Below are 17,208 nucleotides of genomic sequence, written 5' to 3'. Positions count from 1 at the left end.
TTGCCCCCACCCAGGACTGGCAAATTAGCTTTATTCAACATGCCCTGAGTAACAAAAACTAAAATACCTCTTAGTCTAGGTAGACACTTTCACTAGATAGGTAGAGGCCTTTCCTACACGGTCTGAGAAGGCCACCGCAGTCATTTATTCCCTTCTGTCAGACATAATTCCTCAGTTTAGCCTTCCCACCTCTATACAGTCTGATAACAGACCAGCCTTTATTAGTCAAATCAGCCAAGCATTTTCTCAGGTTCTTAGTATTCAGTGACAGACTAATGGTCTATTAAAAACACACCTCACCAAGCTCAGCCACCAACTTAAAAAGGACTGGACAATACTTTTACCACTTTCCCTTCTCAGAAGTCAGACCTGTCCTCAGAATGCTACAAGGTACAGCCCATTTGAGCTGCTGTATAGACACTCCTTTTTATTAGGCCCCAGTCTCATTCCAGACACCAGACCAACTTAGACTGTACCCCCAAAAAAAACTTGTCATCCCTACTATCTTCTGTCTAGTCATACTCCTATTCACCATTCTCAACTACTCACACATGCCCTGCTCTTGTTTACACTGCCGGTTTACACTGTTTCTCCAAGCCATTACAGCTGATATCTCCTGGTGCTATCCCCAAACTGCTACTCTAAACTCTTGAAGTAAATAAATAATCTTTGCTGGCAGGACTATGCTGAATCTCCTTAGGCACTCTCTAATCAGATATCCTGAGTCGTCCCAATTCTTAGACCTTTTATACCTGTTTTTCTCTTTCTCTTATTCCATTTAGTTTCTCAATTCATCCAAAACCGTATCCAGGCCATCACCAATCATCATTCTATACGACAAATGTTTCTTCTAACATCCCCACAATATCACCCCTTACCACAAGACCTCCCTTCAGCTTAATCTCTCCCACTCTAGGTTCCCACGCCGCCCCTAATCCCGCTTGAAACAGCCCTGAGAAACATCGCCCATTCTCTCTCCATACCACCCCCCAAAAATTTTTGCCGCCCCAACACTTCAACACTATTTTGTTTTATTTTTCTTATTAATATAAGAAGGCAGGAATGTCAGGCCTCTGAGCCCAAGCCAAGCCATCGCATCCCCTGTGACTTGCACGTATATGCCCAGATGGCCTGAAGTAACTGAAGAATCACAAAAGAAGTGAAAAGGCCCTGCCCCGCCTTAACTGATGACATTCCACCATTGTGATTTGTTCCTGCCCCACTTTAACTGAGTGATTAACCCTGTGAATTTCCTTCTCCTGGCTCAGAAGCTCCCCCACTGAGCACCTTGTGACCCCCGCCCCTGCCCACCAGAGAACAACCCCCTTTGACTGTAATTTTCCATTACCTTTCCAAATCCTATAAAACGGCCCCACCCCTACCTCCCTTCGCTGACTCTGCTTTCGGACTCAGCCCACCTGCACCCAGGTGAAATAAACAGCCATGTTGCTCACACAAAGCCTGTTTGGTGGTCTTTTCACACGGACGCGCATGAAAGTGACCATATCTGGCAGTCAGTAGACTGCTGGAGAAGCTGGAAGGTCTTTGCGGCAGTTAGTCCTCTCACATCATGCTTCTACTGTGTGGCTAGAACAGAGTCTCAAAGAATTGCCTGGCAGTATTTGTTTCTTTATCCCAGACTGTATATCACCAGCTGTGGCAGTTTTTTTTTTTTTCCCCCTAGTCAAACTGAAAAATATCTCTTCTGTAGCCAAGAGTTCTATGAATGCCTTCATCATGCTAACTATCCTATACCCAAGTCAAACTTTCAAAATCTTTTAGAGTATAGCTGGCTCTTCCAGGCTAGTGCTTGCTGATGGTCAAACACATTTTCTGCCCTATATTTGACACGGGTGCCTGCTATGAAAGTGCCAAAGCAATAGTTCTCTTCCACCGCTGTGCTCCTGCCATGGCTGTATGTTTTATGAGGATGACAGGTAAAAGTGTGTGTGATAAGTCTAGAAAAATTCTGGTTTACAATATATCCTTATTAACTTTTCATCTGACAGAGAAGGAATGTCTGTAAGGTCTTTTTGTGTAGATTTAGGTCCCAGATGAGCACCACCTCTTAAAAAGGTAGAGTGAGCAGACTTAGTATTATGAAGTAACGTAAGAGAAATTGCATTTCTCAATTTTGGAGAGACGTGAGGTAGTTCACTTGCGAGTGGATGGCAAAGAATGATACTGTAAGAAATATATTATTTTCTACACTATCTTAGTCCTGTGCAACTCCAGTATCTGACCTTTTATGTTGTTTTAAAATGGATGATTTCGGCAAAAATGATATAATAGAAAGGGTCAGTTAATATTTGGTGCAAGGTTGTTAATCTCTTCAAATCTTTCTTTATCATATTAGATTTCTCCCCGATGAACAAAGCCTGGGTGAGCTGCATGGAAGAACATGAGGTGCAAGCCTAGTTTTCTTTGTTGGGTGGTTGATTTTTTTTTTTTTTTTAACATTGCCTTGGGCAGGGTTGCATCTAACAACATTAGCCTCCCAGAAACACTTTACTACACAATGGAGAGTGTTCTTCACTTATTCCTTGCTTGGGGCTAACAGGCTACACTGTTTCGCATTGAATATGTATCTTTTGATCTTGCTTTATGTTCCTCTTACCATTTTGTTGCTGTTAAGAGCTGGTGATTAGGATAAATCAGTAAGTGAAAACTGCCAGAAAGGTTTTGAAATTATGAGACTGGACTCTCTGGCCAGTGTTCATACTGAGTTCTGGGTGGGCCACGGAGGCCCTGTGTAGAACTCAGTGATGGGGAAAGAAATCTACGTGGGCTCACTTAGAGAAAGCTTTCTACTTAATAAACAATGCATTCTTTGATCACTTCCACTCTGATTCTGTCCTCTCAGGGCATATTTCATAAAGTTCCTATTTTCTTACCCTCTGTCACAGTATTCTGTGATTCAGGTATTATACAAAGGTACAATGATAAATCAGAAATTTTATTTTTGAAATTATCTTTATTGTTACAGAATTTTTTATTGAATACCCGTAGGATTTTTGTGCACTCAAATCATTACTGCACTGATACACTTAGAAAAAATAAATTAGGGACTCTGACTTCCTTAATTTTACAGTCTAGCAGAGGTATAATTTTAATGTGAAGCATCGTGTGACATGGCACAAGGTCTTATTTAGACAGAAGAATGTTCATAAAGATTAAGGGACTTTAAGGGACTCACACTGCATAAGAGCAAAAAGGGAAGGATATATAAATAAGCCATTTTCTTACATTGACTCATGTCCTCAAAGCAAAGAATATAGCCAAAAAAAAAAAAAAAAGATGGAATGAGAGGAAGTGACACAGAAAGAACACATGAACAAAAATATATGATATGTACACTGTCTTTCTTTTTTTTTTTTTTTTTTTTTTTTGAGAAGGAGTCTCACTCTGTCACCCAGGCTGGAGTGCAGTGGCATAATCTCAGCTCACTGCAACCTCTGCCTCCCAGGTTCAAGCGATTCTGTATCTCAATCTCTAAGTATCAGGGACTATAATCATGTGACACTATGCCTGGCTAATTTTTGTATTTTTAGTACAGACAGGGGTTTTGCCATGTTGCCCAGGCTGGTCTCAAATTCCTGGCCTCAAGTGATCTGCCCACCTGGGCCTCCCAAAATGCTGGGATTATAGGTGTGAGCCACTGTGCCCAGTCTACACTGTCTATTATATCAGTATATTCTAGTCTCAGGACAGAATACAATGATTAATATAGTAAAGAAACTAGATAATCCACCTCTGACTAAAGCTATACACACCAATATTCTTTAAATATAAGGACATATGTTGATGAGCTACAGCAGCAACTTCCTTTAGTAAAGTTTTTTTTGGGGGGGTGGGTAATACTGTGATTGAGGATAAGAGAATAAGGACTTTAAGAAATATCTTCTTAGAGTGTGATAAAGAGCAAGGTATAAAAGACAATAATGTATTATTATTCATTTGATTGAGCTAAGCTCAGCTTACTTAAAATATTTTGTTAAAACTTACTGTATTAGTCTGATTTCTTCAGAGAAACAAAACCCATAGAAGATAGACAGACAGACAGACAGATAGATAGATAGATAGATAAAATTTTAAAATGGCTCACATGATTATGGAAGCTGAGAAGTCTCAAAATCTACAGCCAATAAGCTGAAGACTCAGGAAAGCTGATAGTGTGAAAGTAATTTCAGTCCAAGTCCAAGTGTGAAGGCAGGAGAAAACTAATGTCCTAGCTTGAAGGCAGGTAATGAGAGATAATTCTTTCTTACTTAGCCTTTTATTCTATTCAGGCCTTCAATGGATTAGGTGAGGCCTACCCACATTTGGGAAGATCAATCTGCTTTCTCAGTCTACCAATTCAAATGTTAATCTCATCCAGAAACACCCTCACAGACACATCCAGGAATAATGTTTAAACAACTGTCTAAGCACCACTTAGCCCAGTCAGTTAGACAAATAAAATTAATCTCATTCTAAGTTTTTTCTTTTGCTTAATTCAGATTGCAGATTCAGATGTGATATACAGAATTCTGAGATTGTGTTTTATAATAATCCAAGAAAATAAATATAGGATGGTATTTACCAAAATTAAGGAATGAAACATAGTTTTATCTGAATAACTACAGTGCCTCCTGTTGACTGAAAGAATCTGGACTGCCTAAATTTTAGTTGCCTTCCAGACAAAGGATCAGTGGAGAAAATTCTACTGTACATATCTCTTTATCAGCCTTCCTGTTTTTCTTCTTGATCATATTATTACCTTACAGGAAAAAATAATTGCTAATTTCACAGTGAAATGAAGTAGAGAAAGAAAAAATTTTAAAGTTCTGTGAGACCAAATTAACCTGCTTCAATAGATCAGTGAGAAAACTGATTATGATCTAATCACAATCCCTCTATAAACTCATAGGTGGTTAGTCCTCAGTATGACATTGAGTATGGATTAAAAAATATTTATTGGGATCCTTAAATATAAGCCTCTAAGTCAAGAGACACTAACAAAAGATAATACAAATGTTCATATTTAAGTCTACCAAATACAGAAAGGGCATCAATATATTCGAAATCAGTTTTTGTTTTCACTCTTAAGCATATTTTTAGAATTTGAGTTATGCAGTTTCCCCTGCATATTGTATTTATTTTTTAATTTACTGTTTGGATGATAAGAGATTTGTTAAAGAATACAAAACTACAGCTAGATAAGGGAAATAAGTTCTAATGCATTCTGTACCAAGATAGGATGACTAGAGTTAACAATAATATATAATTTCAAATAGCTAAAAGTAGGTTATTGAACCTTCTCAACACAAAGAAATGACAAATGTTTGAGATGATGTATATGTTGATTGCCCTGATCTGATCACTATACATTATATGTATTGAAACATCACATGTAATGAATATGCACAATTATTACATGTCAATTTAAAACAATTTAAAAGAGTGACAAAAAATTTAGTTTCACATATCTATTATAGTATAACGTAGATGTATCATAGATATCATCATTTTTCTAGACCTAGAGGAGTAGAGAAAATGATAGAAGCAAATATAGGGAAATAAGATACCTGGTTTAGATTAGAAAAACACTTCTTGTCCTGTCACAACTTCTCCGCTTTCAACACCACTTGGAATAGTAAGTTTCTTCCACCTTCAAGGTACATCAGAGTGGGGACACTCTTATAAATGTGAGATGAGAGGCAAAAGACTCCCATGTATTCATTCATCCATTGAGTAATTATCTAGAAACTTCTTTGTGTAAGGAACTTTGATAGGCAATAGAGATGCAAAAGTTGAGAAGACATGGTTTGGGCCCACTCTTAAAATAGTGATGAAAAGCAGAAAAACAAAGACTTAAAATGCTAGCATAAGCTGAGAATCAACTAGGGAAATTGGAGAGAATGAATCACAGAGAAGGGCACATCTGAGATAGATTTTGTATAGTAAGCAGGAGCTTGCCAAACAAGACATTTTAAATAAAAAGGAAAAACCAGATCTAGAAAGGGTGAGATTGAAGTCTGAATAAAGCATAAAATTCATAGCAAAAGGAGTGTAATGTCAAGAGATCGGGGTTGGAAAGCTAGGTTAAGTGAACTGATGTTTTACTAATCTATTTGGATTTTTACAGGTAAAAAGACCACGAACATTTAAATAAGATGAGTACATGATCAACTTTATGTATGTACATTCTGTTCACTATGAAAGACAGATGGAATAGCTGTGGGTAAGGGGATACAATATCGCAGACCAAAACACCAGTTGGAAATCTACGTAGTGATGCTGGTAACAAATGACAAGGCACTGAACAAAGGCAGTGGAAGTGACGATGGAGAGTAGAGGTCAATTTATGAGAATAACAAAGGTGGTGTGTGCTAAAAATTTGTTTAAATAATTTTTTAAAAATTAGAAAAAATGTAAAATAATATATGACTACATAAGACACATGAAGAAAAAGAAGGAAATAAGAATAACTTTGGCTGGGGGTGGTGGCTTACGTTTGTAATCCCAGCACTTTGGGAGGCTGAGGCAAGCAGATCACTTGAGGTCAGGAGTTTGAGACCAGCCTAGCCAACATGTTGAAACCGTGTCTCCTAAAAATGCAAAAATTAGCCAGGTGTGGTGGCATGCACCTGTATTCCCAGCTACTCAGGAGACTGAGCTGGGAGGATTGCTTGAACCTGGGAGGCAGAGGTTACAGTGAGCCAAGATTGTGCCATTGCAAGCCAGCCTGAGCAACAGAGTGAGACTCTGTACCCCACCCCCCACCCCCCCAAAAATAATAATTCTGTGGATACTAGCTTAAATTTATAGATGAATTAGAGTTCCATTAACTGATAACAGGGAATTTAGAAGAAGAACCAAAGTAAAGTGGAAGATGATGAGTTTCAGCTCAGGACATGTTGAATTTGAGGTACCCTCAAATATCTACATGGAGCAGCTGAGTATACCATTTCAGATTTCAATTATATTAAATGTAAATAAAACCAACACTGTATTAGGAGTGCTCTGTGAGATCAGGAGAAAAGTACAATCCTGGAGAAAAACAATGTATAAAAGTGTGCATGGAGAAAGAGGAGACAATTATGGAAATTGAGAAATTGTGAGAGAGTTAGGAAGAGAAACAAGAAAATGAAAACTGGGTGGTGACTGGCGCTGAAAGCTTTGAAGAGGTTACATAGGACAAATACTTCAGATAAATTCATTGGATGTGACAATCAGTGGACCATCACCATCATTCTAAGAGTGGCCATGATAGAGCCAGACAGAGGTGACTTATCCTTGAGGGAGACTGGACATTATTAATTAGTCAATATAATTCCTGCTGGTAGTCAGGTCAGTTTCCTGCAGAATATTAAGATTTCAACAAAATTTCTGGTGCTGTGTCAGGAAGTCGTGACTAAATGGCGATAATTAACCCAGGAAAAATAAAGGAACAATTTCAAAACAACACTTTATTAATCTCCACTTAGATTCAGCTCTTTCCCTCCCTCTACCTGTTCTTTCACTTAATAGTCATATTTTGGGAGTCTTTGTGAGGGAAAATGCCTCTTCTTTAACATAATTTCAAAGCCATACTAGCCCAGGGACAGAGCAAGTGAGAAGGTGGTATACAACTGCTCTGAGGCTAAAGAGATGGTACTTTTGAATCATAGGGCTCTTCGTAGAATTCAGAGTGTGACCTTCATCCTGAAGCATCTGCAGCTGTCTCTTTAATTCAGATTGGCTGTGAAATTTCCGAAGGAACTTACATGGTGAATGCAGTAGTACAAGGGGGTGATGGCCTTTGACTTCTCTCTTCCAAATCCAGATACCAGTTACCTCCCTTCACTTTCATCACCTTACCAGCGTTAGTGCTTTATGTAGGTTGGAGATTGCAGCTGCAATCATTCTTCAGCTTTCTTTGTACAGTTTGAGTAGGCTGAGTTCATTAGAAGAGCTCTCCCAGATGGGCTTTCATTTCAAACTCATCAGCTCTTGCTTTTATTCCCATTTTTCTAAAGTTCTTTTTGATCATCCGGCTCCAACTCCCATTTACGACCTGATTGTTGATCTGTTCAAGAGAAAGAGACAGGCCTCCAGCAAAAGGGAGGAAAAAAAAATGCTTTGGTGAGAGAAAGAAGAAAAACACACACACAGGGTGTTACACAAGGATGAAGTCCTCCTCACACCATTGTCCTTTGGAAGACAAAGCTGAAGAAAATAATTCTGGAAATAGAAAAAAATAGGAGGTGAGGTGGGGGAAAGTGTGTGATGGAAAAGCAAACATGGAAGTCATAAAAAAATTCTTATGATTATAATTCTCCATTTGAGAAGTGTCCTTGTGATTTATTTATATTTATTTATGTATTTATTTATTTTTGAGACGGAGTTTTGCTCTTGTTGCCAAGGCTGCAATGGCGCAATCTTGGCTTACTGCAACCACAGCCTCCTGGGTTCAAGTGATTCCCCTGCCTCAGCCTCCTGAGTAGCTGGGATTACAGGCATGCGCCACCACGCCCGGCTAATTTTGAATTTTTAACTAGAGATGGGGTTTCTCCCTGTTGGTCAAGCTGGTCTTGAACTCCTGATCTCAGGTGATCCTCCTGCCTCGGCCTCCCAAAGTGCTGGGATTACAGACGTGAGCCACTGCGCCCGGGCTCCTTGTGATTTATACGCATCCATCGTGATCTACTGGCTTCTTGTCATCTGGGAGAGGAGACCACTACATTTCCTTTGCCTGTGATAGATCTGTTTGATTATATCTCCTTCAGTTTGCAGCTACTGGAGTCCCCTATTTCACATTTGTTTCCACAAAATATATTTCAAAAATAAAGACTTCTGGCCAGGTGTGGTGGCTCATGCCTGTAATCCCAGCACTTTGGGAGGCCAAGGTGGGTGGATCACCTGAGGTCAAGAGTTTGAGACCAGCCTGACCAACATAGTGAAACCCCATCTTACCTAAAAATACAAAATTAGCCAGGTATGGTGGTGCATGCCTGTAACACCAGCTACTTGTGAGGCTGAGGCAGGAGAATTGCTTGAACCCAGGAGGCCGAGGTTGCAGTGGGCTGAGATCACACCATTGCACTCCAGCCTTGGCAGCAAGAGCAAAACTGTGTCTAAAAGAAAAAAAAAAAAAGACTTCTTTTGCTCTTCATATGCACCTGCCTTTATCTTTGTCTCTTTTACCTCTACCTCTACCAGGGAAGGCAAACCAGACAGTAGAGCCATTTTCTAATGGTAGTCCTGAAGACAGTCTCATTACTTACTTATTTACTCATGGGCTTACATACTTATTATGTGTTAACTTCGTTATAGCATACATGTTGTATCTATTAATTGTCATGTCTTGGCATAATTTGATCTGAATTATGTCTCAATGCATGTAATGTAATGATGAGTCATATTATAATGTGGTTCTGCTCCAATGATAACATTTACATAATGGCATATATGACAAGACTATAAAGTAAGGGGCTGGGTTTTCAAGTGAGCCTTGTGGAAAACAGTCTTCTAACTTTACAGCCATGCCTTATACATCAGAATGCTCATCCTAAGTGCATTGTGGATTGTGGTTTATTGCGAGCATTTCTTTCTCCCTACTGCTGGAATGAGATAAAGAATAAACCCTACATGGAAAAGACCATATTTTTTTTCCATCTAGAACTTAGCAATGCTTTTGGTATCTGTAATGATGCAGAAGTATCACAATTTTCTTCAAATAGCTGTGGAATTGTTTTTAATTGCATAGTGAGTGAAGTTTTTAACTACAAATCTGAGCCAGAATTCCAAGACTAATTTTACTGTTTCAAAGGTACAACCAAAGGCAGTTTTTTCTCTTTCCAAATGAGAGGTATTTTTCACAGAGAACAAAGGCTCATAGGGAGAATCAAAACAAAAGCAAAATTTAAAGTTGTTTCTCATCCTCTCTCAACTGTATACGGAGGAAAGAGGAGAATTTCTAGTTCAAAGGAGAGAAAAAAGTTGTAGATTCTTGCTAGTTTAGTGAGCGTATAATTGCCACTCAGTCACTGAGGAGACAGAATAGGCCTTGTTGTTGCAACCTGAGAGTCCTCAAAGCATAGGGTATGCTTCATCCAATTCAGGTGGAACTCCAATTCAGCCAGCAGATCTCAGGGGATCACAAAGCACAGCATGGGCCTCTATTTCAGCTATCCTAGAGAGACAGCCATGTATGAGTTCTGCCCTTTATGAAACTAAGTGGATCTGGTTGAAAGTGGTGAGACAATTAAGTCCTATGCTGCCTATGCACAGGTATCCCAAAAATCCTTTAAAAGTGTTCCAGAGATGGCATTAGAGCCTCAATTTACACCATTGCACTATAACCATGCTGCATCATCCTGCTCTTGATTTAAATTCTGTGGGCTAGAAGAGGCCAATTGCTAACCAGAGGGGACCAAGGGGCTATCAGATGCAAGACAGCTCAAGCCCCTAAAAGGGGGTTTCCCTGAAAATGCCTATTAATAAGCAAAGATTGGATTGAGCCACAATATCTGGGAGTTGCTGGATTGATCCCAAAAATGGGTTTTCTACATAATGAATGACCAAGATTTGAATTATGGAAGGATATGGAAATAAAAATGTATCAGGATCTTCCAGAGCTCACTGTGTACTCCAAATATATCCTGTTTAATAGTTACAACAATCTGAGGAAGTACCTACTACTCCTGTGTTGCAGAAGAAAAACCCTGAAGCTCTTCGAAAATATTGGACACATTAGATCCAGGCATTGCTCTATATGTTTTTTTAAAACCCTTTTAAACATTACGAGTGCCAAACAAGGTAGATACTATGATCATCTTCGTTTTATAGCTTAGGAAACACATGCACAGAGAGGATAAACAAATGTCCCAAAACCACAGAGCAAGTATGTGATGAAGCTAGAATTTAGAGCAGAAAATTGGCTTTGTAGCCTAAACCTATCGCCACCCCACCACGCTGCCTTTCTCTGCTAAGTAACTTGCCTAAAGCTACTAAACTACTGAACCCATAACTTTTCCACTTCACCACTTACAAAATAAGGAAGAATTTTGAGTTGAGATGTGATTAAGAAGAGAATGATTTATTTTTCTGACGTGATCCAGACTCTTGGAAAGATCCTAGAAGAGCTCTTTCCAATCACTAATAAATGTTCCTGGGATTGACTCTAACTCCAGCTGTGACTGGGATAGAAATCGGTTCTCTCCTGGTCTCAGTCTCAATACTTATCTCTTTTTAGAATTTGTGTCTTATTTTTTCCCATTTATTTCTTCTATGTGAATGTAGAGATGGCACAGTTGATGTGACAACAATAGGAATACAGATGGTGCCGGAAGGGAGTTTGTTGAGACACATTCAGGACTTAATTGGGTGGTCCTGTTTCTTTTCCATCCACTCTTCTCTTAACCTCTACCATCTGCATGGATATGCATCTGTGCTTCTTCAAAAAGATGATTCTGAAATGTAGTCATGCATGTATCATATATAACAATGCATATATGACTGGACAAGGTGTTCTTTAGTGATAGTAAGAGACAAAAAGCATGTCTATGGAGGCCTTTTCATTGCTCCAGAAATTGCGCAGCTTGTCTGGGTTTTGCCATTTGCCATGTGAACTTTTGCACTTTCAGGTGATGATCATTGTAATAAGTGGTAGCCTAATCACAGAAAGGGTGCTTTCACAGTAGAGCACATGTGAATAACTAATAAAAGTTGAGCATTTAGAGAAATACATGATTGATCTGAGAGTCTGGGTAATAATACATGTTTAGTGGGTTTCATCACACTGCAAAATATAAAGAGGTTAACTTTTTGAATGTGATTAGAGAAATCAATGTTTTTCCTTTAGTTATCTCTCTTATATGACTGTTTTCTTTTTATCTACTATCCTTTACAATGAGAGACTATGAATATAAGCATATATATTGCTTTGTTTTATGAAATGTTTCTATGTACGTCACCTCATTTGATTTAAAGAACTATGCTGAGAATGGTTCTAAGAGGTTGAACAGGTATCGTTAGCCCCATTTTACTTAAGAAGAAACTAAGATTCAGAAAAGTTAAAAGACTTATCTGTGTTCCAATAGTAAATAGGCTGCAAGGCCAGAACTAAAATGAGCCTCTTCAGGATCTAAACTGTTTGTTTTTTACACTAGCACTCCATCAGCAGTACACAGTACACAGATTTCTGAATCATGTGGTAATATATTTACATGAATTCAGTTCCTGTGGGTTTACCACCTCTGTGTTCTACTACCTCGGTGTTCTTACCCTGCCCTGAACATCCATTTCTACTTCTGTGTGTGCATGTAGCCATTTGTATATGAATGTGTGCAAAGAAGCAAGGGTGAGGGGAGATAATCTGATCATGTAGATGCTGTCATAGTGTTAACTGGTCTACAATTTGGTATGAATCCAGAGAAGTCAACCATTACCAAACTAAGATTAGGGTCTGGGTCAAGGGAATGAAGATGAGGAGAACAGACATGCACAAGAGCAAGAGAATGACACCAAGATAGCAGACAGGGGTCCAACCAGAGGTCAGGTGTGAAAAGAACTAAAGCTAGGAGCAAGGAAGGTAAGGAGCTGAAGCTTTTAGTTGCAGCAAAGGCTAACAGGGCTCCTGAGTGTCAGCAGTGAATTCCCACAGTTCTTTTTTTATTTCTAATTGAGTCTAATCTTAGAAAATGGTAATGAAGCAAAGATGCTTCAAAATGATTGATGATTTAAAATTCCTTAAATTTGGTTTTTAACTAACTTGGTATTTATTTTTTTGATGTGTTTGCATAGTTGTTGGAATTCATTATACTTAAAATAATGTTATAAAACCAGACTAAGGACTTCTGACTCAGGAGAATCTGGGATATTTTCATGCTTTATTCCATTCTCTGCTTAGAATTTTTCTGATTCCACATTTTAATGCTGGGAATATATAGCATCACTTCCCAGACCAATTATCTTTCCTTCTAGAGTGAAATGATTCTATGATAGTTTTGCTGATTCACTAAGGGTTTTATTTGTAGGATTGAAGTTACAAGGCAAACAGCATCAAAATAACATTCTTGAAGACATCCTTCCCATCCACATCTTGAATCTTTCCATATCTTACAAAAGAGGGAGATTCACAAATGTGAAAAATAATAAAGGTCAATGAAAAAGTTTTCTGATGAACAAAGACTAATTTTCTTAAAAAAAATCAATTTTTCTCCAAATGATTCTCCTTTACCTATCCTGGGTGTTATGAAATGATTACATCATTTTACGATTATGAAACTAAAGTAAAACAACAAAAGGGGCATGATTAACTACTAACTTATAATCATTAACTATCGACTTACAACCAGAGCCTCACTAGGCCTCATTGCTGTGCCTTTGTCATGAACTTTGCTGCTGACAATTAAGTAGGTATAAATTAAAAAGCATAAGCCTATGAAAACACACTACTGCACTTTAGATGTTTGTCCTATGCTTCTGGATGTGTAAACCAAGAGACAGACATCTATATCTGGGTATTTCAACCTCGATCCTGTCAACATTTTGGATAAGATACATCTTTGTGATTGGGGGCTGTCCACGGCATTGTAGGATGTTTAGCAACACCCCTGGCCTCTCCCTACTAGAAACCAATAGCAACACCCCCTCCCTAGTTGTGACAACCAAAAAATGTCTCCAGATATTGTCAGTGTCATCTAGGGGCACAGATTGCCTTCACTTGGGACCACTTATCTAACTGTTCTTTCTTAAGAAACAAATAGATTTCTCTTACCCATCCAGTTACACTGCTCCCAGCCTCTGCAATGTATAAATATGAGTATAGATAACTGGTGCGGATTACATAAAATATATTTATTTGTTATCAGTGAATAAATACCAGATTATACTCTTGAGAAAAGAAGGAAATTTATGCAAGGCTAAGTCTGGACAAATTTGAATCCTAAGTTGGTATGTTTTTTAACAGCCATTAATGCTTGTTAAATATGAAATGTGTCCAGCAGCAATTGAACAGGCTTAATATTTGGTAGATATGTATCAATTACATCATAGATATCTTGTCAGTACATATGCTATTAAGTAATCTGTTGGTACAAACTGATTTTAGCATTTCTTTTCTACCTCCAGTTATATTCATTTTTTAAGCAGTATAACCCCCACTCTTGTGCAATGTTACTAGAATTGTCAATGTACCTGTTTGTATAAGTCTGCATAATAGACTTGATGTAAAGTGTTTGAAGAAATTCAATGCTTAAGATTTGTATGGGTGCATTGATTTTTTGTGACAGTTTTATGGAATCAAATATACTAAACAGGGAAGATAAAAATTTGTGTGCTTACCTTTCCTAATTTTTTTAAGAGATGATTTTTTAAAAATCATAGATTTGCAGTTCCAGTAGGTAACCCATCTAATATTTGAGGGTTCATGATTAACGTGAGCAACCTCCTAATCACTTATTTAGGATGTTATACTTTTTTTTCACAGTTTTTCACATGCAATATAGATCATTTAGTTCCTAGAGATGATATTTCTTCATAGTGGACACAGGAACACATTTTTTCTCTCCTTTACTTTCATTTTAATACCACACTCAATAATTCTCTTTAAATTTCCCTTTATACCTAATAACTTTAATTATTTCTTAAGAAATATTAAAATAGTTATCCATCTTTACTGTACCTATTAGATAATTAATGAATATTTTATAATTGACCTAATGCAATTTGTTAAATTAAATTCAGCTTGTTTATTCCACATTTCAGCAAGTATCTACTATGCACATGGTATTTATGCACATGGTATTTAGGCTCAGTGAGGGCTCCAGAGGTGAATTACAAGAAGGTCACTGTCTTAATAAGCTTATGAGAAAAGATGAGTGCAAATAACTCTAATGCAATGTGGAGTATGATAAGGTCATAAAAAGGAAGTTTTAAGAAGGTTACACTGACGAGAGAAGATTTTCTGAAGAGGTGGCACTTTATAGCATACGTCCATGTCCTCAGCTGCCTTCCATAAAACCCACCCAAAGCGGAAGGATATTCTCTGATCCTCTCCTCGTGGCACTAACACCCATTGTCATTAGGGTCCGGTTCTTTCTAAACCTGGGAATTATTTGCAACATCATGTGTTCCTCAAGACAACATTCTATTAAAACAACACATAACACTAACAGGTTTTTGAAATACATCTTTTTATCTTCCTGCTTTAGCCCAGGTTGATTCTAGAGATAAAATTGTTGCGGGAAGTCAGGGACCCCAAACGGAGGGACCGGCTGAAGCCATGACAGAAGAACGTGGATTGTGAAGATTTTATGGACATTTATTAGTTCCCCAAATTAATACTTTTGTAATTTCTTATGCCTGTCTTTACTGCAATCTCTAAACATAAATTGCGAAGAGTTCATGGACACTTCTCACTTCCCCAATCAATACCCTTGTGATTTCCTATGCCTGTCTTTACTTTAGTCTCTTAGTCCTGTCAGCCGAGAAGGATGTATGTCACCTCAGGACCCTGTAATAATTGCATTAACTGCACAAATTGTACAGCATGTGTGTTTGAGCAATATGAAATGTGGGCACCTTGAAAAAAGAACAGGATAACAGCAATTGTTCAGGGAATATGAGAGATAACCTTAAACTCTGGCCGCCGGTGAGCCGGGCAGAACAGAGCCATATTTCTCTTCTTTCAAAAGCAAATGGGAGAAATATCACTGAATTCTTTTTCTCAGCATGGAACGTCCCTGAGAAAGAGAATGCGCACCTGGGGGTAGGTCTCTGAACTGGCCCCCCAGGGGCGTACCTGTCTCTTATGGTCGAGATTGCAGAGGTGAGATAGTCTCCAGTCTCCCATAGCGCTCCCAGGCTTATTAGGAAGAGGAAATTCCCACCTAATAAATTTTGGTCAGACGGTTGATCTCAAAACCCCGTCTCCTGATAAGATGTTATCAATGACAATGGTGCCCGAAACTTCATTAGCAATTTTAATTTCACATCGGTCCTGTGGTCCTGTGATCTCGCCCTGCCTCCACTTGCCTTATGATATTCTATTACTCTGTTAAGTACTTGATGTCTGTCACCCACACCTATTCACACATTCCCTCCCCTTTTGAAAATCCCTAATAAAAACTTGCTGGTTTTTGTGGCTTGTGGGGCATCACGGATCCTACCAACGTGTGATGTCTCCCCTGGACACCCAGCTTTAAAATTTCTCTCTTTTGTACTCTGTCCTTTTATTTCTCAAGCCAGCCGACGCTTAGGAAAATAGAAAAGAACCTACGTGATTTTCCGGGGCAGGTCCCCCGAAACAAAATCATTAAGTATAAAGTTTAGAACTAAATTGCAGCAACATTCTAGGTAGGTGATAATTCATTATTATCATATTATAATGGCATGGCCCGAGAATTCTCATTTACTCCACAAGCCTGCCTAATGCACAGTTGAGCCAGCAGACCTCAGAGATGCAAGCCCATGATGCTTATTGGTGATTCAGTGAATGCTGGGAACCTGGGTCTGTATTTATATCAGCATTTCTTATTTCCAGATAGCCAGGTGGTCTGTCAGTACACTGTATGACTAGTTATTATCTCTTAATAAACGTAGACCTCTACAAATTGAAACTACTGATTCTGGTTTACTATATTTTCTTTTCTTTCTCTTTCTTTTTTTTTTTTTTTAGACAAGGTCTCACTCTGGCCAGGCTGGAGTGCAGTGATGTGATCATAGCTCACTGTAGCCTTGAACTCCTGAGTTCAAGTGATTTTCCTGCCTCCAGCCTCCCAAAGAGCTGGGATTACAGGCATGCGCCACCGTGCCTGGTCCTACCATTTTTTTTCATGTGTACTTTTTATGATTAAAAAAAATAGGTGCCACCTTAAATTAAGATTCTAAAATTAAGAAAATATTTAGTTCTGAAATTGCATTATTCCTTTACTCATTTTTTATTAAGAAAGTTTTAGTCACATTGTAGAAGGATTATTTTCCAGTTTATAGAGCTAATAGATTTATTTTGCAACTACTGAGTACATAAAAAGGAACCCTGAAAGATCTGGAGAAGTGGTTTCCTTTTTATTTTATTTTTATTTATTTATTTTTTTTCCATTGAGATATATTTATTTTAAACAAATTTCTCCTTGAAATGGTTTCCTTTTTAAAAACACTATACTGTATTGTGTTCTGGTGCTTGGAGTTTGGCTAACCATCTGAGTTAGGAAAAAGTATGTGTATTCTAGGCCGGGCACG

General features: G+C 38.3%; 1 protein-coding gene across 4 annotated transcripts in view, besides 1 other annotated feature; it reads left to right on the top strand.

Annotated features, from left to right (window-relative positions):
- Positions 1-17,208, top strand: part of LSAMP (limbic system associated membrane protein) — a 643,114-nt gene that overhangs the window by 338,634 nt on the left and 287,272 nt on the right. The window lies entirely within an intron of this gene.
- Positions 15,737-16,238: an enhancer, noted in NCBI's record as "NANOG hESC enhancer chr3:115809463-115809964 (GRCh37/hg19 assembly coordinates)". NCBI's record gives its function as "activates a minimal SCP1, AML or CMV promoter by ChIP-STARR-seq in primed H9 embryonic stem cells {active_cell/tissue: H9 hESC(primed)}" and the evidence as "EXISTENCE:reporter gene assay evidence [ECO:0000049][PMID:30033119]".

Source organism: Homo sapiens, chromosome 3 (genome assembly GCF_000001405.40).
Source record: "Homo sapiens chromosome 3, GRCh38.p14 Primary Assembly".
Taxonomy (NCBI): domain Eukaryota; kingdom Metazoa; phylum Chordata; class Mammalia; order Primates; family Hominidae; genus Homo; species Homo sapiens.
This window is presented reverse-complemented; position numbering and strand designations above follow the sequence as displayed.